Here is a 22,354-nt window from a genome sequence, read left to right as displayed (position 1 = left end):
ATACATGTGATACTCATGTATATGATACATTTAAAAAATATTGTAGTTTTATCCTAGGATAATGATAATTTTATTTGCAACCTGTCCTTAGAATTTCTAATTCCATTGAAAGCAATAGCAAAAACCGCAATTACTTTTGCACCAACCTAATATATGGAAAATCTATTTTTTCTGAGTCTAAATATCGCCTAAAAATAATTTTATTGACAGTTGCTGCTGACTTAGCAGAGTGAAATTTCTCTATACTGAAATAAACTACAGTGACTCAAGAAAGATGCCCTAATTTTAGCATTACCCTCAACAGAAGAAAATTACATGGAAAATTTTGACTGTGAACACACAATTAGTGATTTTGTTAATAAAAAGGTAAAAGATAAATTTTATGAAATATATAGATGAACATTTATGAGTTATGTGTGTCTTGATTTTCTTATTCATCTACCATCACAGCACATCATAAGGACATCTCAAAACTGGGTAATAGGCCGAGCATGGCGGCTAATGCCTGAAACCCCAGCACTTTGGGAGGCCGAGGCAGGTGGGTCACCTGAGGTCAGGAGTTTGAGACCAGCCTGCAACATGGCAAAATCCATCTCTACTAAAAATACAAAAATTAGTCGAGTGTGGTGGTGGGCGCCTGTAATCCCAGCTACTCAGGAGGCTGAGGCAGGAGAATTGCTTGAACCCAGGAGGTGGGGATTGCAGTGAGCCAACATAGTGCCCCTGCACTCCAGCCTGGGCGACAACAGCGAGACTCTGTCTCAAAAAAAAAAAAACAAAACATTCTATTCCATCATCATAAATATATGACCATGACTCTACCATTTTAACATTTTATCATTATGAAGGTATGCTTCTCAAGATAGGAGAATAGAACATATTTTATTTACAGTTTAATTTACTAGATTTCACTGTTTAGATGGATGGGGCCCATTTGTCCTTTTGTTCAGACTCTAGAGATGTTAGAGGCCAGCCTGAATGGTGGAACTTTCATCATTCCCTGTGTTCTCTCTTGTATTCTCTAGTAACTTGTGCAGAGTAAGCATTTAATAACTGTTTGCAGTGCAGGGTGCCTAGGCTCACACCTGTAATCCCAGTCTCAGGCAGGAGGATCCCGTGAGGCCAGGAGTTTGAGGCCAGTATAGGCCACCTGGTGAGACCGCATCTCTAAAAAATATTTTTTTTTTAATGCTGAATGAACAAATATTGCCTTCTCCTACTTCTCTAAAAACTACTTGTTAAAAATGACCTGTCAGAAACGACTTGACTTTTGGCCGGGCGCAGTGGTTCATGCCTGTAATCCCAGCACTTTGGGAGGGCAAGATGGGCAGATCATGAGGTCAGGAGATCGAGACCATCCTACCTAACACGGTGAAACCGTATCTCTACTAAAAATACAAAAAATTAGCCGGGCATGGTGGCGGGCGCCTGTAGTCCCAGCTACTAGGGAGGCTGAGGCAGGAGAATGGAATGAACCCAGGAGGCGGAGCTTGCAGTGAGCTGAGATCGCGCCATTGGACTCCAGCCTGGGTGACAGAGCGAGACTCTGCCTCAAAAAAAAAAGAAATGACTTGACTTTCAAGGCCTGGATGAACTAGCTCATTCTCAGGGAAGCCTTTTTTATTACCTTCAGCCAGAAGCCATGGCTTTTCCCCTGCCCTTGGGCAGGCTTCTCATCGGGGCTGCCTCCAGTGGTGGGTTTCTTTTGTGTGCTCTCAGAACCACCCGCAATGGGATCAACAGCCCCTGGGGGCACATAAAACCACACTTCCCAGTGCTCACAGGATTTGGCACCTGGGTATTCATTACATTTTTTTTTCACTGACAATCTACATTTTTAAGAGATTAGTATGAATAAATTCCTATAGTAAAATCCTGTTCCCTCCACATATGTGAAGTAAGAACTGCTTTTATCTTGTTGCATCGGGCTTTGAAAGTCATTTTGTAGCCTTGTATTAAATACACACATAGCAAACACTGTACATTTTCTGAGACTGAGAATAGTTTTGACAAAACTTTCTGTATAAATCCTTGGCGCTTGTTATCAAAATAGCTAAGAGAAAAATGTAGAAATAAGCCTCAGGTCTCCAGTGGCTTGATAATCGAGATACATAATTTCAGGGCCAGAGGCATATTAATCGGTTGAGGTTAAGTGAGACTTTCATCAAATCAGACAAAGGAATGCCCACTGTGTGTAAGGAGCCAAGCTGCAGTCCAGCCAGGCTGTGGGTCAATATCTCTGAGCCTTGCTTATTTAATTGTACATCTGCTTTTGGAACCACCTTTGCCCTGTTTGCTGTAGATGATCAGCTTTCATCTGCTATAATTTCCTCATCAAGGTTTATTTCCCGTTATGTACTTGATTTTTCATTTTCCTTCCTTGTAAAGGAGTATTCCCAATATGACCTCAGCTGAATTTCTCTCTGTTCTTTTTATTCTGCTTGCTTCAGGCAAAAAAACCCAATGAACCTTTTAGTGTGCGATGCACAGATTAAAGTACTTCATTGAGTTCCTGTTTAAGGATGATCATGCGATACTATGGATCAGAATGAACACATAAAAAGATACTCTTCTTTTTTGATTAAAAGGCAATTCCAAATGAAATTATGTCAGTTTATGAGCACTTGAAATACATTCTCATCCTCCAACTGGTAGAAATGAGGGATTATTATAATTCTTGTGGCTCTCTACTCTTTCCTTCAGGACACTCTTTGTTAGGGATTCTGCCTGGTATTCGTCATTCATCTCCTACCTGGGAAATCATGTGACAGTAGCTTAAACAGGGAAATGAGTGATTCATATTCAAAAATACCTCTTTTTTTTGTCTTAAATAGCCAATAGCACATTATAGCTTTGGATAAATTGAAATGGACAATGGAAAGGGGAATTTGATTTCTCCGGAAACTATATTCCCTGTTAAATGTTACGCAATCAAGAGAAATCCATTTGTAGGATAAATCTGTGCTCTGAATAATAATTGTGCTATTCCATATTTACTGTTCCATTGTAAATGGCCAAATATTCACTGATGTGCAGGACGAATGGCACCGGCTGGAGGCAGCCGCATGTTGGCAGTCGCCACGAAGCCTTTCCCCAGGATTCTGGCAGACACCTTGGTCTTGATCTGAGACATCACAGCCACCCCATTTGTAGACATTTGTGCCCATGGGTATGCCCCATGGATGCTCATTCTCTGTGAGCAGACTTTATAATGTGGAAAGTATTCACAAGGAGCTGAGAGGTGACCACCAAATTAACTTCCATCTGCCATCAAAGTCAAGATTTTTCCTTCAATGCCAAACAGATTCCCTAGGGTATAACTTGATGCTTTCTTATATACAAATATCACTAAAGGCATGAACAGTAATTTTAAATAAGATGGGCATTAGGAAAATGAACAATGAGGACAGTACACCTTACTGTGCAGGTGGGGGCATACCCAAACCCACCCCACATCCTTTAGTCAGGAGATTGTAGGTGACAGAGGTTCATGATGCTGGCATACATGATCTGTATTAAATAGCCCTTCTGTGGCAGGCCAGGTCTCACTAACATAGGCCTCCATAGCAACTGTTTCAGCACTGACTGAGTGGTTAAATATTAAAAGCTGAGAGAGCCAGTGCCCTTATACAAAGGCTGGAATGTAACAAAAGCCCACCAAGAGTCTTGCATAGGCCTTTCGTGGGCCTTAAAGCATGAGAAGATAATGAAGGAATTCTTAACAGGACCCATTTAGGATTAAACAAGTTTTATTGGGGGTCTGAAGAAACTCCCCAGGCCTCTGCAAACAAGTTTATTAGGGGTCCAAAAGAGCTCCCCAAACCTCCGTGATTTAACAGGAGACGAGATAAGGGTAATCACCCCAGCACCTGGACCCACTGAATTTAAGTAAATTTACTGAGGCTCCAGAGGAAGGTCTTCAGGACTCAGAGCTTAGTTATAGATTAAAAGAAATTAATCACTTATTTGTTTAGATGAATGCATACTTACAGTTAGACAGAGAGTTTAGAACGTGTATAAGCCCTGGAAAACTTTGTAATTTTGAGTTGGTCTAGCGATAATTTCCAGGCCTTCTCCTTGTAACTGGTGGCAGAAATAAAAACTCTCTTCCTCCCCTGTTCATCTGCATCTTGTTATTGGGCCACAAGAAATAGCAGCCCAACCCTCAGTTTGTTCCGGGAACACTTCTATGCCTGAGTTGAAGTACAGAAGTATTTCTCTTAGCTGATAAAGAGGGGAAATTAGAAGGAAAGTACAATCCTACAAGAATTTACTTTTCTAAACCTTTATTTTCTTTTAGGATTATTGAGGACTGGGTAGAATTATGAGGAAGTCAGAAAGAAAAAGTATTAAAGCACACATCTGTTTCCCACCCCAGCCCCAGCTTCTTATAGTTTGTTCACTGTGGAATCTGGGCATGATCAGATGGCATGCTTGGAGGACTTAGTTTTTAATGAGACCAAATATTCTAATGCAAATTCCCTTTTTTCTGCTGAGACCTTTCGAATCTATGGTGACTTGGGGTCAGACAAAGTCATCTAATATCTGAAGTAATTGTGTGAAATATCAGAGAAAACATGAGCTCCAGCATGGTGTAAAATAAACACGCCAATTCATTTATTCATTTGTCATGGAGAAGTCATGGATTGGAAGTGGTGGTAAAATTTTAGAACAAAATAAAAGATACTTTGATAGGGACAAAGTGTGTAAAAGAATTACTCAAAAATTAAGATTTAATAGTATTTGATCTTAAAAACATGATCTTTAATAGTGATATATGTCAATAGAGTCTCATGTCATTGTAAATTATATTTTATCAGTAATTTTGAGCTTTCAGATAATTAAGATTAGAGCAGATCTGCTTACATATTTAGCCTTGTATGACTGAGCATTTTGTTACCCAGAACATGTTGATATGACCTATGATGAAGTCTTCCAATTTTTCTTGGCAAAATAAGAGCAATGATATTTCTTTTTTGAAAAATCTTTGCAATGTCTGAAAGCACTTTTCCTCTATAAAAATTAAAACTTTTCAAAAAAAAAATAACTGGCATTTTCTCTGGATAGACTTTGTATTTTTTTACCTGCCTCAGCAGAAAATTAAAAACTACCAAAGCATTTGTAACTTTTGTCCCTAGCTAGGGAAGAGTTCTTTGTCTAAACTGTCTGTTTACAACCATCCCCCCTTCTCCATGGGGGATACATGGCAAGGCCCCCAGTGGATGCCCGAAACCGCGGATAGTACTGAACCCTATATGTACTATTTCTTCCTATACGTACATACCTATGATAAAGTTCAATTTATAAACTAGGAACAGTAGATATTAACAATATCTGGCTTGAAGAAAAGGACTTTCAGGTAGGTTTGATAACTGGTAGGGTAGTAAATAAGAGACCATCATCTCCTGCCATCTGGAACTAAAGAAAGATTTACAAAGAGCCCTTGCTTAAAATGTTATCCTGGGTTTACACTGATTGTCAGATAATACAGTCATGCACCACATAATGACGTTTTGGTCAATGATGGACAGTGTATATGACAGTGGTCCCATACGATTATTATGCAGCTGAAAATTTCCTATCACTGTCATAGCTGTCTTACTGCCATAGAGCAATGCATTACGCAGGTGTCTGTGGTGATGTTGGTATAAATGAACCTACTCAGGAAGAACCTCAGACAGGTCCTTCAGAAGGTATCGAGAAGGAGGCATTGTTATCATAGAGATGACAGCTCCATGCGTGCTTTTGCCCCTGAGGACCTTCCAGTGGGATATGATGTGGAGGTGGAAGATAGTGATATTGATGATCCTGACCTTGTGCAGGCCTGGGATAATGTGTGTGTCTGTGTCTTAGTTTTTAACAAAAAAGTTTAAAAAGAAAAAAAAATTTAAAAAGCTTGTAAATAAGGATATAAAAATTTTTTTGTACAGCTGTACAATGTATTTGTGTTTTAAGCTAAGTGTTACACAAGGATAAAAATGTGGAAAAAAATAAAAACTTTCTAAAGTAAAAATGTTACATAAGCTAAGGTTAATTTTTGTTGAAGATAGAAAATTTTAAAAAATAAGTTTAGTGGACCGGGCCTGGTGGCTCACGCCTGTAATCTTAGCACTTTGGGAGGCCGAGGTTGGGAGGATCACAAGGTCAGAAGATCGAGACCATCCTGGCCAACATGGTGAAACCCCGTCTCTACTAAAAATACAAAAATTAGCTGGGCATGGTGGTACGTGCCTGTAATCCCAGCTACTCAGGAGGCTGAGGCAGGAGAATCGCTTGAACCAGGGAGTCGGAGGTTGCAGTGAGCCGAGATCATGCCACTGCACTCCAGCCTGGTAACAGAGTAAGACTCTGCCTCAAAAATAAATAAATAAATAAAATAAGTTTAGTGTAGCTGAAGTGTTCAGTGTTAATGAAGTCTACAGTAGCGTACAGTAATGTCCTAGGCCTTCACATTCACTCACCCCTCAATCACTGACTCACGCTGAGCAACTTCTATCCTGCAAGCTCCATTCAAAGTGAGTGCCCTATGCAGGCGGACCGTTTTTAATCTTTTATGCTGTATTTTTACTGTACCTTTTCTATGTTTAGATATGTTTAGATACACTATACTTACCAATATGTTTCAGTTTCCTACAGTATTCAGTGTGGTGACACACTGCACAGGTGTGAATGGGTATACCATATAGCCTAGGAGCATGGTAGGCTCTACCATCTAGCTTTGTGTAAGGACACTCTATGATGTGTGCACAACATTGAAATCTTCTAAGGACATATTTCTCAGAACATATCCTTGTCGTTAAGTGACCCATGACTCAGTATCTATTTAAATCTTAAACCTTCCGAGAGTGTCGTAGGATGTAGCTTAGAAGATTATTTTTATATAATCATCTGCAGACATTCCTTGAAGTAATTATACCTCCTTGTACTACATAATTAGTATCAATGAATAATTTAGAGCATGTAATTAATACTGATACCAAAATGTTTAAAATTATTTTTAAAAGAATTCATAACTATTCCTTTTAACTTGATTTTTTCAGGTTTTGGCTAAATTTATCCTATCATACTTACACTAGTTACGCCTTCAAATTCATAATGAACTCTAAGGAACTTGAAGGAGACAATAGGTAGTTTTAAATAAATTGAGTTTCTTAAATGAAATGCATTCTGCTTATTTTTAGTGTCCTAATTTTGAAAACAAACACTGCACTCTCCCAGTAGTTTTGCAGGTTGTTTCGGACTGTTGAGTATTTTAAGGCAGGTTGTTTTGGACTGATGAGTGTTTTCCCCAGGAACCAGGGGGAAAGACCCACGGCAGGAGGCTACTAAGGAAGGTAGGGGCTTCTGGACACTTGGGTGGGCCCAGGGGCTCGTGACCTCGTGTTGTTCTTTGTCCAGATCCTCATTTCCTTTTTAATTCTATGGTCACTTGTTCACAGTTTTTTAAAATAACTCCTGCTTCACCCCCATGCCCAAACAAACTTTCCAGCTGTTCTTGCTAATCCAGGACAGTGAACCTTGGCCCAGGCAGTGATGCTGTGCTCCAGCTGGGACCGGGTGTCCTGTCGGAATGCAGTGGCATCCAGGAGCGTGCCACCCCACCTGCCTTTCTGCCCACCCACAATGCAGGGTTTGAGCTGCTCACCGTCTGGAGCAATCCCAGCTCTCCCTCTAAGGGCCCATGTCAATGAACAGAAAGATGATAACTGAGGACAAAACCCTTTCCATCCCCACTTCTGAAAAACGCACTAAAAGAAAGAAATCGAACTTATTCAGTTCACCTTATTCATTTGGAGGCAATCTCAAAAAAGGAGGCAAACGTTAACTTGTTATTTAGAGAATCAATTACTGATGCAAACTGACCATGTGTGTGTAAGTCCCCGGTGTGTCTTATGATTTGTCACTTAGTAGCTTAGCGGCTGCTGTCATATGACTAGGAGGCTTTGAGTTAGAAGCCCTCTGACTGTGTCCTACACTACCAAACTATTCAAATGAGCTTGAGTAAATCACCTTGCTAATCATTCTCAATATATTAACTCATTTACCACTCACACTCAGATACTTATAGAGGTACTGTTATTGCTGCTATGTATACAAGAGGAAACTGCGACCCAGGGAGGATAACTAACCCTTTTCCATCCTGCCAGCTTGTGTGTGAAGGCTGAGATCAGACCCCAAGGCAGGCTGTTCTCTGAGAATGAGCTCTTTCCCTACTCCTGCTATTTTGGAATAAGGTGACTTTTATACACAAACAAATCTTTTATTGCTTCAATGACCAGGTTGAATTCATTAAAACTATGGCCCGGGAATTAACCCAAGTTTGATCCTATTTAGCTAAAAGACAGAGCTACTGTGACACCAGCTAATTGTACTTGAACTCGTGTCAAGGTGTAGCCTGGAAGTGTTTCTGGACAGCTGGAGCATTGCCCTAGCTCTGCCAGTCCCCTTATTTCCTGGTTCAATTGCTATCCAAAACCCAGCTCAAAAAAACGGCATCAACTTGGACCGCTCCTTGGCATTCCAGGGGAAAATGAGTTTCTTCTTAATCCTTGCTTGCATGCCACATTAAACATGCCACATGTTGTTTCTGTCTACATTGTGTTGTGGTTAGTTTGTAATTCTCCACTGTGAGTAAATGAGTAGATTAACTCATACTTCTCCCACCCTTCTACACTTTGAGTTCACTTAGAAATACTGGAGAGCAACTGAGTTCACCTGATGGTGGTGGCAAAGATGGCAAAGAGCAACGTAGAAGAATGAAATAACATTGACAATTAAAAAGAAAAGTGAAGGAGCACAGTGTTTGCCTGCAGCAGTGCATGGTGTGTGTGTCTGTGGTACCCATGTCCAGTGGAGAGGGTGGGCACCAGGAAGGAAGGTTGGATCAGGTCTTTGAGTCTCACAGGGAGAAGCCTGAATTTCATGCTATCGACAAACAAAACTCCATCATGAGTTTTTTTGTTTACAACAAAATATTTTCCATATTAGTCTGTAACTTTTTGTTTTTCTTAAAAATTTTTGATAGCTTTGTTAACTGTAAAAACAGCACATTTGGCTTGGCACAGTGGCTCACGCTTTAATCCCAGAACTTTGGGAGGCTGAGGTGGGAGGGTCCCTTGAGCCCAGGAGTTCAAGACCAGCCTGGCCAACAGGGCGAAACCCTGTCTCTACAAAAAAATACAAAAGTTAACTGGGTGTGGTGGCGTGCACCTGTAGTCCCAGCTACTTGGGAGGCTGAGGTGGGAGAATCACCTGAGCCAGTGAAGTCTAGGCTGCAGTGAACCGTGATCACACCACTGCACTCCAGCCTGGGCCACAGAGTGAGAGTTTGCCTCAAAAAACTAACAAACAACAAAAACATTTTCTTCAACCACAAGAAGCAACAAATAGACATTACTGGAGCTTACAAAGTAGATAATAAAAGTTCACCTATCCACCTCCTTAATACCACAGCCCCGAGATAAACGCTACATGTGTAACAAGCTTTTGAGGGGGACTTATCTGTTGCCCCAGAAATGGTAATCAAGACTCACCAATGCCAAAAATGGATGCTCAGTTTCCCCTCCTTATAAAGAAAGTTAATGATACCCTAATAGGACACAGACAAGACCCTTTTATAATTATCCATTACCTAACACCCTCTGCCTGTTCTAGATGAAGAGAGGACAGGGGAGAAAATCAACTGTTATCAGTGTCCTTTGGGCTTTCAAGGAGTTCCGTGGTTGGTGGCCACTCCCTCTTCTACTAGGGGTGGGACTGTTCTAGGGCAATGTCTTGGAGAGATTGAGAAGTCCTGCAAGAAGAGAAGACTGACACCTGATTCCTCAAATGAATACTTCTTTAATTGCAGGTGCATTTTGGCATTGTCCCTTGAGAAAGAATTCTTGAAGATGAGGGGTTTAACTAAATCTAGAGATGATGGCTACATCTCTGGAGCTTTCTGGAGATGGAAGTCTTGCTAATAGAAAGTCTTGCTAAAGATCTATGGAATTGTGTGTCTTAAAAAATAATGGTAGGGCTGGGCACGGTGGCTCACGCCTGTAATCCCAGCACTTTGGGAGGGTGAGGCAGAAGGATCACCTGAGGTCAGGAATTCAAGACCAGCCTGGTCAACATGGTGAAACCCTCTCTCTACTAAAAGTACAAAAATTAGCTGAGCGTGCTGTAATCCCAGCTACTCGGGAGGCTGAGGCAGGAGAATCACCTGAACCTGCGAGGCAGAGGTTGTAGTGAGCTGAGGTCGCACCACTGCACTCCAGTCTCACCACTGCACTCCAGCGACAGAGTGAGACTACATCTAAAAAAAAAAAAAAAAATGGTAGTGGTGGAGAATTCCTCTCATGTTGCCATGACTCTTGGAAGAGTGTGGAGGTTGACCTCAGGGTGCCTGTGCCTCTGCACCTGAAGGAGTAGGAAGGTTAGAGGACAGGATGGAGGCAAGGTAATGTTCCACCGTCACGGCCTGAAAGGAGACATGACTCTGGGAACAGGGTGGCCATTTGCCTTCTGGTTTAGATCAGGTAGCCTGAAAATGAATAAATCTGCTGCTTTAGTTCATACTTTCTTTTAATTAGCTTTTTATAAGAATATAAATTTGAAAATAATTTTGTATTTTAAAGACTTGCTAGAGAGATGGATAGGATTTTTAAGTGGAAGCAAGGTAGAGAGGCTGGACTAACAGAATCAGGGTTATTTTTGTTGTTATTTGTTTGTTGGATTGACTTTCTTCTATTTGTTTTGTATTATTTTTTCTTTGAGTAGGGTTTGAGGTTTTTTGAAAGCTAGAATCTTAATCTTGACATACCATTGAATTACTGATGAAAGGTCCTTTAAGATTTCATTCTATTGGATAGCAATTATCTAGAGCCGGTTTTATATTTAAGTTATCTTATAGGCACTTGGTATTTTCTCAAAGTAAGCAATAGATGACAAAATAACAAATAAGTGGGTTTCTCAACAATTTGTTGTATCATAAACATCCATCTTAAAATTAACTAACAGTATTATATCAGTAAATGTCATTACCATCCATATTTTAAAATTGATTTCTTTCTTTCTTCCTTCCTTTTCTTCCCTCCCTCCCTTTCTTTCTTTCTTTCTTTCTTTCTTTCTTTCTTTCTTTCTTTCTTTCTTTCTTTCTTTCTTTTTCTTTCTTTCCTTCCTTCCTTCCTTCCTTCTTTCCTTCCTTCTCTTTCTCTTTCCCTTTTCTTTCTCTTTCCTTCTTTCCTTCCTTCCTTTTCTTTCTGTCTGTCCTTCTTTCTCTTTCTTTCTCTCTCTTTCTCTTTTTCTCTCTTTTCTTTCTCTCCTTCCTTCTTTCTCTCTCTTTTCTTTTCTCTTTCTTTCTTTTCTTTTTCTCTTTTCTTTCTTTCTTTCCTTCCTTTTTTTTTTTTTTTTTTTTTGAGATGGAGTCTTGCTCAAGTACCCAGGCTAGAGTGCAGTGGTGCCATCTTGGCTCACTGCAAGCTCCACCTCCCAGGTTCATGCCATTCTCCTGCCTCAGCCTCCTGAGTAGCTGGGACTGCAGGCGCCTGCCACCACGCCCAGCTAATTTTTTTTTTTTTTTGTATTTTTAGTAGAGATGGGGTTTCACCATGTTAGCTAGGATGGTCTCGATCTCCTGACCTCGTGATCTATCCACCTCGGCCTCCCAAAGTGTTGGGGTTACAGGTGTGAGCCACCGTGCCCAGCCTTCCTTTCTTTTTTCTCTTTCTCTCTCTTTTCTTTCTCTCTTTCTCTCTTTCCTTCCTTTCTTCTTTCTTTCTTTCTCTTTCTTTCTTTCTTCCTTCTTTCCTTCCTTCCTTCCTTTCTTTCTCTTTTCTTTCTTTTCCTCTCTTTTCTTTCTTTCTCTTCTTCCCTTCCTTCCTTTCTTTTCTTTTTTCTTTCTCTCTTTCTCACCTTCCTTCCTTCTTTCCTTCCTTCCTCCCTCCCTTCTTCCTTCCTTTCTCTTTCTTCCTTTCTTTCTTTCTTTCTTTCTTTCTTTCCTTCCTTCCTTCCTTCCTTCCTTCCTTCCTTCCTTCCTTCCTTCCTTCCTTCCTTCCTTCCTTCCCTCTTCTTCTTTCTTTCTCTCTCTCTCCTTTCTCTCTCACCTTCCTTCCTTTCTTTTTTCTCTCTCTTTTTTCTTTCTCTCTTTCTCTCCTTCCTTCCTTCCTTCCTTCCTTCCTTCCTTTCTCTCTCAGCAGAGAGAGAGAGAGGTTCCAACATTTATTCCAGATCTTCCCAAATGACCAAGATAAACATCCTCAAACAAAATGAAAGTAGGGGCCGGGCACTGTGGCTCACACCTGTAATTCCAGCATTTTGGGAGGCCAAGGCTGGTGGATTGCTTGAGGTCGGGAGTTTGAGACCAGCCTGACCAAATGGTCAAACCATTTCTCTACTAAAAATACAAAAATTGCCCGGGCATGGTGGCTCATGCCTGTAATCCCAGCACTTTGGGAGGCTGAGGCAGGTGGATTACCTGAGGTCAGGAGTTCAAGACCAGCCTGGCCAACATGGCAAGACCCCAACTCTACTAAAAATACAAAAATTAGCTGGGTGTGGTGGCAGGCACCTCTAATCTCAGCTACTTGGGAGGCTGAGGCATGAGAATCGCTTGAACCCTGGAGGTAGAGGTTGCAGTGAGCCAAGATCGCATCACTGCACTACTGCAGCCTGGGGGACAGAGCAAGACTCTGTCTTTAAAAAAAAAAATTAGCCAGGCACGGTGGCAGGCACTTGTAATCCCAACTACTCAGGAGGCTGAGGCAGGAGAATAGCTTGAACCCGGGAGGCGGAGGTTACAGTGAGCCGAGATCATGCCGCTGCATTCCAGCCTGGATGACAGAGTGAGACCCTGTCTCAAAAAAACAAAAACAAAAGTAGGGATTATTAAAAGTGGAAGTTACCTCCTTCATTCCATCTTGGCTCTCACGTGGATTTCCAGGTAGTGTACTTTTAAAGGCAATTCTTTTGTTTCATTTAATGAGATGGCAAAATAATTTTAATTTCAAATGAAGAGAGAAGATCATTTTGGTGTCCCTTTGCCCTTCTGCAAATTGATAATGTTGCATGAATAGTTTACTGGAACTGAATGACTACCTATTGTTCCACTTATATTTCAGAGTTTATTAAATTTTAGGAAACTTTTGATTAAATTATAGATCACCAACAGGCTCCAATGATTCCAAAGCCTGTGCTCTTTCAGCATGCTGCATTTGATTGTCTTTACAGTATCTGCCAAGTGCTTCGGGCTTGGGTCACATTTCTTCTTATCAGGAAACATTCTCTTTCTATTTTCATGTGACAATCATGAAATGCCTACTGTGGCAAACAAAACAGTCACTGTCCATGAAATTTGTTATAGCTTATTTGTCTGGCTTCACTTCTGCCATCTTGTTCTCTGATATATATACATTTATATGTAAAATTTTTATATTGTTTATATATATAAAATGTTTATATATATAAACATTTTCTTCATTTGTTGATGTTTTGTCCCCCTTTTTGTCTAAATTTAAAAAACTGCTTGAGATAACTGTGGATTCCCATGAAGTTGTAAGAAATAATACAGAGAGATCTTGTATACCAGTCACTCGGTATCCCTTAATGGTAACTAACGTCCTACAAAACTATAGTGCAATATCACAGTGAGGAAATTAACACTGACATAATCCAGGGATATTATTCAGATTTTCTGTTTTTATGTGTACACTGTTCTCCCCCAACCACAGGAGTTTAGTTCTACTCAGCTTTACCACCTGAGTAGATGCGTGTGATCACTGCCACAGTCAAAATAACAGTTTCGTCACAAGGATTGACCCTGCCCCCCTTTTACAGTCCCTGTCATCCCTCCTCATATTTCCTAGCTCCTGGTAACCACTAATCTCTTCTTGTCTCTTTAATAATGTCATTTCAATAGTGCTGCATAGATGGACTCATGCAGTATGTAACATTTTAGATGGGCTTTTCACTCAGTGTCATTCCCTTGAGATCCAGCCAAGTTGTGGCATGCATCAGGAGCTCATTTCTTTCGCTGTTGCTGAGTAATATTCCATGGTATGGATGTAGCACAGGTTGTTTAACCCTTTGATTAAACACTGAAGCATATTTGGTTGTTTCCACATTTTGGGTGTTATGAATAAAAACGCTGTGATCTTTTATGTAAAGGTATTTTTGTGATAATTTGTTTTCATTTCTCTAGTACAAACGCCAAATAGAGTAATTGCTGGGTCAATGGTAAGTACACATTTAGTTTTATGAGAAACTGCCACATTATTTTCCAGAATTGTGATATTTTACATTCCCACCAGCGACGTGTGAGTAATCAGTTCACCCGCATCACTGACATGTGACCTTACTACAATCTTTTATTTTAATTATTCTGATGTCAAAATTATTTGAATAGATTTGTATGGCTCTATTTTGGGGTTCTCTATTTTGTTTCATTGACCTATATGTCTGCTTCTCCTCTAATACCACACTGTCTTGAAACTGTAGCTATGTAGTAATCCTTAACATTTCTTAGATTGATTCTTCTCGGTAAATTCTTCTTTTTCAAATTTTGCGAGTTGTCTTTTTTAGCTGTTTAGATCCTGTGTCTTTCCTTGTAAAACTTAGAATAAACTTGTCTGTCCTTTAAACTAACAAAGATAAAAAAGACAAAGAAGGACATTACATAATGGTAAAGGGGTCAATTCAACAAGAAGAATGAATAATCCTAAATATATATGCACCCAATATAGGAGCACCTAAAATCATTAGACAAGTTCTTAGAGACATACAAAGAGACTTAGACTTCTACACACTAATTGTATAGTATAAACACCTCTACGCAAATAAACTAGCAAATCTAGAAAAAATTGATAAATTACTGGACACATACACCATCCCAAGACTAAACCAGAAAGAAGTCCAATTCCTCAATAGGCCAATAGCAAGTTCTACAATTGAGGCAGTAATAAATAGCCTACCAACCAAAAAACAAACAAACACACAAACAAAAAACCAGGACCAGACAGATTTACAGTTAAATTCTACCAGCGTTTCAAAGAGAAGCTGGTACCATTCCTTCTGAAACTATTCGAAACAGCTGAAAAGGAGGAACTTCTGCCTAACTCATTTTATGAGGCTAGCATCAACCTGATACCAAAACCTGGAGGAGATACAACAAAAGAAGGAAACTTCAGGCCAGTATCTCAGATGAACATTGATGTGAAAATCTTCAGTAAAATACTGGCAAACCAAATCCAGCAGCACGTTAAAAAGCTTACCTACCGTGATCAAGTTAGCTTCATCACCGGGATGCAAGACTGGTTCAACATATGCAAATCAATAAATGTAATTCATCACATATCCATCTGACAAAGGTCTAATATCCATAATCTGCAAGGAATTTAAACAAAATTACAAGAAAAAAAAACAACCCCATTAAAAAGTGGGCAAAGGACGTGAATAGAAAAATTCTCAAAGGAAGACATTTATGCAGCCAACAAACATATGAAAAAAAGCAAATCACTGATCATTAGAGAAATGCAAATCTAAACCGCAATGAGATACCATCTCATGCCAGTCAGAGTGGCGATTATTAAAAAGTCAAGAAGCAACAGATGCTAGTGAGGCTGTAGAGGAATAGGAACTCTTTTACACTATTGGTGGGAATGTAAATTAGTTCAACCATTGTGGAAGACAGCATGCTGCTTTCTTAAGGATCTAAAACCAGAAATGCCATTTGACCCAGCAATATTATTACTGGGTATATACCCAAAGGAATATAAATCATTCTGTTATAAAGATACATGCACACTTATCTTCTTTGCAGCACTATTCACACTAGCAAGGACATGTAATCAATCCAATCACTATAACCAATCACATTAACACAGTAAAGAAAAAATTATATAATCATATCATTTTACTAGAAGAAGAACCTTGTTAAATTTTGATAGGAATTGCATTACACATCAGGATCGATTTGGGACGTAGTAACATCTTTATTATGTTGAGTTATTAAATCCACAAACATTATATGTCTTTCCATTTATTTAGATATTCATTAGTTTCTTTAATCAGCATTTTGTAATTTTAAGAATACAGATCCTATACACATGTTCTAAGTACTTCATTTTCTTTGGTGTGATTGTAAATGGTTTTGTGTTTCAGATTGTGAATTCTACAAGTTCATTGTTAGCATATAGAAATAAAATTGATTTTTTTTTTTTTTTGAGACAGAATCTCGCTCTTTTTCTCAGGCTGGAGTGCAGTGGTGCTATCTTGGCTCATTGCAAGCTCCACCTCCTGGGTTCACGCCATTCTCCTGCCTCAGCCTCCTGAGTAGCTGGGACTACAGGTGCCTGCCACCATGCCCAGCTAATTTTTTATTTTTTTTTAGTAGAAACGGGGCTTCACTGTGTTAGCCAGGATGGTCTCAATCTCCTGACCTTGTGATCCACCCGCCTCGGCCTCCCAAAGTGCTGGGATTACAGGCGTGAGATGAAATTGATTTTTGTGTATTTATCTTATATCCTGCAATCTTGCTGAAATCACCTGTTATTTCTAGGAGATTTTTAGTTGTTTTTAGTATATTCCTTTGTAATCTTTGTGATTTTCTCATGTACAAATTACAACAGTTTTATTTTTTCTTTCCAATTTTTATGCCTATTATTTCTTTTTCTTGCCTTATTGCACTGTCTAGAACTTCTGATACTTATCATGAATAAAAGCGGTGACACTCCTGTTTCTAATCTTAGGGGAAATCATTTTTTTGTTCTTGATCTTAGAAGAAATCTTTCAGTCTTTTACCACTGACCATTGTTTACTGTTGGACTTTTATAGATGCTCTTTATCAGGTTGACTTCTGCTCCATTTGTAGTTTTCTAAGTTTTTTTTTCTTTAATCATGAACAGATGTTGGATTTTGTCAAGTGCTTTTTCTGTGTAAAATGATAAGATTATATATTTTTTTCTTTACTGTGTTTACTGTGATTTGGTTATAGTGGTTGATTTTTTGAATGTTGAATTAGGCCTGTGCACTTGAAATAAATTTCAATTGGTCGTGGGAAATATATAATTCCTTTTATATTTGCTGGGTTTGATTTGATAATGTTTTGCCAATAACTCTTCTGCCTATGTTCATGAGAGATATTGGTGTGTAGTTTTCTTTTTTTTTGTACTATTTTCGACTAATTTTGTTGTCAGAGTAATACTGACATCAATGAGTAAGTGGAGATGTGTTCTCTAGTCTCCTATTTCTTGGAAGAGATTGTGTAATGTAGGTGTTATTCTTTAAAAAGTGTTGTTAGAATTCTCCAGTGAAACCATCTGGGACTGACTATTTCATTTTTGAGAATTTCTAAGTTACAAATTCAATTTATTTAATAGTTACAGGACTACTCAATTTGTTTATTTCATCCCAATTGAGTTTTGGTAGTTTGTGATTTTTTTGTTTAGGAAGTTTTCCTTTTTTTTTTACACTGTCAAGTTTATGAGCGTAAAGTTGTTTGTAGTATTCCCATAGAGTATCTTGTGTGTGTGTGTGTGCGTGTGTTTCCAGTTTAGCTAAGTTGCAATATAAAATTGTAAAGAGGAGGCCCTAGAAAGATTTAATCTGAGGAAGTGACATTTGAGGACAAATTTGAAGAGTAAAGAGGAATTACCAAGTGGGGAGAAAGTGGAATGTTCTTGGCAGAGGGAATGTTAGGTGCAAGAGTCACATACTGGATATGCATACTGGAAGGAGCACAGCACGTTTTGGGAGACAGAAGATGGTGGCTTTGGCTGAAGAGCAAAGGTGAGCTGAGCCTGGAGAGCAGGGCTGGCTATCAGGGGCAGAGTCTCATAAATCACTGTAAATTTCTACTTAAAACAAAACCCTGAAAACAATAGGAAAACACTGACAGATTTTAGGAGGAAGGTCAGTAAGACTTGCTTTTAAAAGCTCACTATATTTGTATTGTGGGTGGGATAAAAGGATGCAGAAAAGCCTGCTAGAAAGCCCTGTGGGGTCCAATTGGTGCACATTACTGACTTTGGTGTGTCTGTCCAATACTCAATGTGAACTCTGCTGCCAGCATCACAGTCCTTTGTTTGTGGTTCCAGTCATCTGCGTGACTAGAGGACAGAGCACATGAGAGATTGGAAAAGAGTGAGACTGAGAGGTGGGGCCCCTGGGTGGGCAGGTGGCCATACCATGTCAATCATTGGGGGCTTCACAAATCGACAGGGACAGGTATTCAGTGAGAGCGAATCTTAATCCCATCTACATATAGAAAGCATGCCAGCAGGAGCAATGAGTATTAATGGGGGCCAGTGAGAAGAGATGGGCAGAAAGGAGTGGTGGGGGGGGTCTGACAGTGAACTTTGCAGAAAGATAACTGCACTGAATGTGAACATCTTTCAGACATCAGCAGGGTGAACTGGAGGAGCAGGCAGGATGGAGAACTGTCTCAGAGGCAGAATGAATAAGTCTTGGCCATGAGTTGGTTATGCAGGTGAGAGGAGCAAAGACCATGAGGTCTTCCTGTCTAGTTGGGAGAGATACTCTTCATCAGGGTAGAAAGAGGAGAAAGGGGAGTGCTTGGCCCTGGCTGGGCCTGGAGCAGGGTGCTCATTCCTTTATTCATTGAAGAAATGCACATTAATGCCTGCTGGGTACCAGGCTGCACCTGAATGATAAGCCTAAGGGATTGAATTAGGTAGTCTTGGTCATTGCCCACATGAAAGTTAAAGTCTCATGCAGTGCTTCTTTTTGGGCATATAAGTTTGTCACATATGAAGTCGCAGAACAAAACAAAATGCAATAAAATCCGATGTCATTCTTACTGAAACTACTGTAAGTGTTTAGAGTAGAGGATACATGATGTTTCCATTAGCAGAAAAACAGAGTTTTATCTTTTATTTGCATTTCTTTTTCAAATGAGAGAAATGTGGTAAGGAGATAGTCATTTTGGTGGCCAAAATCAAGGTGTCTTTGGGCAGCTGGAAATTCAAACTGGAATCTTGAGGATATTGATGAATGAAGAGGTGCCAAATTTGTGGGAATGAAAAAACAATCCAGGGAGTACATTTTGAAAATTAGTTTGAAATTCTTTGTATTATGTGCCAGTTAATTTTTTAGAGTTGTTTTGGTATCTAAAGAACAACCGCTCTTATGGATAAAGAAATTCATTTTAGGTATTAAAAATGTCAACCTTAAAACTTTGTATATAGTTAACACTTGAAGAAGTGGAATTGCTTTCTTTCATTAGTTTTAAGACTCTTGCTTTCCAAAACATTTTCATTAAAATTAAGATTTCAGCAATGAATATTTGTTGAAATAAGGGATGAAGGAAATGATGAACTTATCATTTATTCTTTACAACTGCCCTTATGTACCACAAAGGTCTGTCTACCTAAGGGAAAAAACTGGGGCACAAAATATAATGTATAGAGTTGACCTTAGCCAAAGTGAGGATAGCTGCCAGGGACACACTTTCAGGTTGCCTTGGGGAATGCTTCCTTTGCCTTTGTTACAAGCAGGTTTTTAAAGACAAACAGGAACAAGGAGTGGGCTGATCCAAAGTTGTTTGACAGGCATTCTCATTGGTTTACAGAATAACACTGGTTAGTGATTGGCTGTACCCTGTTGAACCATAAGGTGTATGGCATTTTACAGCTACTTGGAGTCAGTTAGTCTGGAGCCTGCCTAGCAAGTGGCTTTAAGGGGTCATTATTTTAGTTAAAAGGGGAGTGAGATATGTCTGCTGTCACATTTTAAATGCCTCTCTGGGCCTGATAATTTAAAGAGGTTCACATTCCTCACATAAAAAATTTATTTTCTGTCTTAGGTCTATGATAAACATCAACTGGCATAGTGCACATTCACTCTATACAAATGTATATGACAATGCCATATTCTGTGCGACATAAATGTATGTTCCTCTCCTCAGAGCTGTTTCTTGCGAATGATAAATATTTTGAAATCCCCTCTCTTAATTTATTTAGACATAAAAATCACAGGAAAAATGTCAATGATGTTATCTTCTAAATGTCTAACTTTAAAAATTATGGCTCTCTCAAGGGTACAGGCCTCAATTAAAATGTCATTAACAATTCAACTTGGGAGTTTATTAGGTTTACGGTGTGGTGGTAGGCAGGTAGGGAGAAAGATAACATTTTCTGGGAGGAACCCCTAAATCTGTCCAGAAACAGTTATAGAACTTTTATCTCTTTTTAGGCTATTAAGTTGAAGAATTAATTATGATTAAAACAATTTTTAGGCCGGGCGCGGTGGCTCACGCCTGTAATCCCAGCACTTTGGGAGGCCGAGGCGGGCGGATCACGAGGTCAGGAGATCGAGACCATCCCGGCTAAAACGGTGAAACCCCGTCTCTACTAAAAATACAAAAAATTAGCCGGGCGTAGTGGCGGGCGCCTGTAGTCCCAGCTACTTGGGAGGCTGAGGCAGGAGAATGGCGTGAACCCGGGAGGCGGAGCTTGCAGTGAGCCGAGATCCCGCCACTGCACTCCAGCCTGGGCGACAGAGCGAGACTCCGTCTCAAAAAAAAAAAAAAAAAAAAAAAAAAAAAAAAAAAAAACAATTTTTAATTAATTAATTAATTTTATTTATTTATTTTTTTCTGAGACAGTCTTGCTCTCTTGCCCAGGCTGGGGTGCAGCGGCAGGATCTCGACTCACTGCAACCTCTGCCTTCAGGGTTCAAGTGATGCTCCTGCCTCAGCCTCCTGAGTAGCTGGGATTACAGGCACGCACCACCATGCCCAGCTAATTTTTGTCTTTTTTTTTAGTAGATACAGGGTCTCACCATGTTGACCAGGCTGATCTCAAACTCCTGACCTCAAGTGATCCACTCACCTCGACATCCCAAAGTGCTGGGATTACAGGCATGGGCCACTGCACCTGGCCACATTTTTAATTTATTTTTAAATGTACAAAAATTGTATATATTTATGGCATATAACATGATGTTTTAATATATGTTTACATTGTAGAATGACTAAATCAAGCCAATTAACATGCATTATCTCACATACTTATCTTTTTTGTGATGAGAACACTTAAAGTATACTCTCTTAGCAATTTTCAAGAATATATGTTGTTATTAACCATAGTCACCATGTTGTACAATTGATCTCCTGAACTTATTCTTCCTGTTTAACCAAAATTTTATATCCTTTGATCAACATCTCCCCAATCTCTCCAACCCTATTATGTTTATTTCAATTCAATGTTTTAAACCTGAGACTTCCAAGACCTTCACTGTATTTGCCTTTCATGCTCAGATTTCTGCAGTTCTAATTTTGCTATGTAATATTGCTTTGAGTCTCAGCAGCTGCATGCTTGACTTAACACTGTCTTTTAATTTTCCTTGGAGGTTTTAAAGAGCAGAGTAGAAAATATTGTCTTTACTTGATTTATTAGGTGTCAACATAGGAAATACCAGATGGTTTTGTCTGGTATTTCTGCCATGTATTTAGAAAAATACTTGTTTGAAATTGCTAGGCAAAATGCCTATTTTTATTGTCTATGTCTTTTATCTCTCTTGTATTAAGATGTTAAGATTGTCATATAAATATTATGTATTGATGTTGATGAGCTGTGAGTTCCTAAAGAGTTAGAGATTATTCACTCGTCAACTTAGACTCCCGTTTCAGAACCCAACTATCACAACCACATAATTTCCACCATTTTGAAAGGTCAAGTGGGACTTAAATAGACCAATTTATCTAAACCGTATGCCAAAAGGAATTTAGGGTGTTGAAAGAGTATTTTCTAATATGTCCTTTTTTACTTTAATTTCTTTGATTCTTATTCTCAGTGTATAATTTAAAAACTAGTTTGTTTGAATTCACTGTTAATCTCTACTCTTCCCTAACAAACTCTTTTTTGAAAATAAAAAATTTTGGAGCTTTAAGTCCTAAAATAATTATCCAAATAAGAAACGTAAAAAGGTGCTATGCTATTGATCTTTCAAAGCTCCGCATTATACTGATAGTGAGGTTTCATGTAATGACAGGAATTAACAGCCCTTTGCTGATAAGGTGAGAACATCATTCCTCAGCTTGAAAGATACACTCTAAGTCAATGATGTCTAGAGTTAACCATAAAACATCTATTCAAGATGTTTATTAACATAAAATGGAATATTCTTTTGCAGATATGTTACTCAAAATTCAAGCAAACCTTCTCATATCCCTTCTTTTGTTTTTTCCTTTATATGTAATATATATAAAATATATCATATATCATATATATCATATATATATAAATTATATATATATATATATATATTATTTGAGACAGAGTCTTGCTGTGTCACCCAGGCTGGAGTGCAGTGGCATGACCTTGGCTCACCGTAACCTCCACCTCCTGGGTTCAAGTGA

The 22,354-nt window shown here is 39.1% G+C and overlaps 1 protein-coding gene across 7 annotated transcripts in view; it reads left to right on the top strand.

Moving 5' to 3' along the window:
• Nucleotides 1–22,354, top strand: part of PXDNL (peroxidasin like) — a 489,869-nt gene that overhangs the window by 53,371 nt on the left and 414,144 nt on the right. The gene's annotated exons all lie outside the window — the stretch shown is intronic.

Source organism: Homo sapiens, chromosome 8, assembly GCF_000001405.40.
Source record: "Homo sapiens chromosome 8, GRCh38.p14 Primary Assembly".
Taxonomy (NCBI): domain Eukaryota; kingdom Metazoa; phylum Chordata; class Mammalia; order Primates; family Hominidae; genus Homo; species Homo sapiens.
The sequence above is the reverse complement of the archived record's forward strand: the minus strand, read 5'-3'. Positions and strand labels throughout refer to the sequence as shown.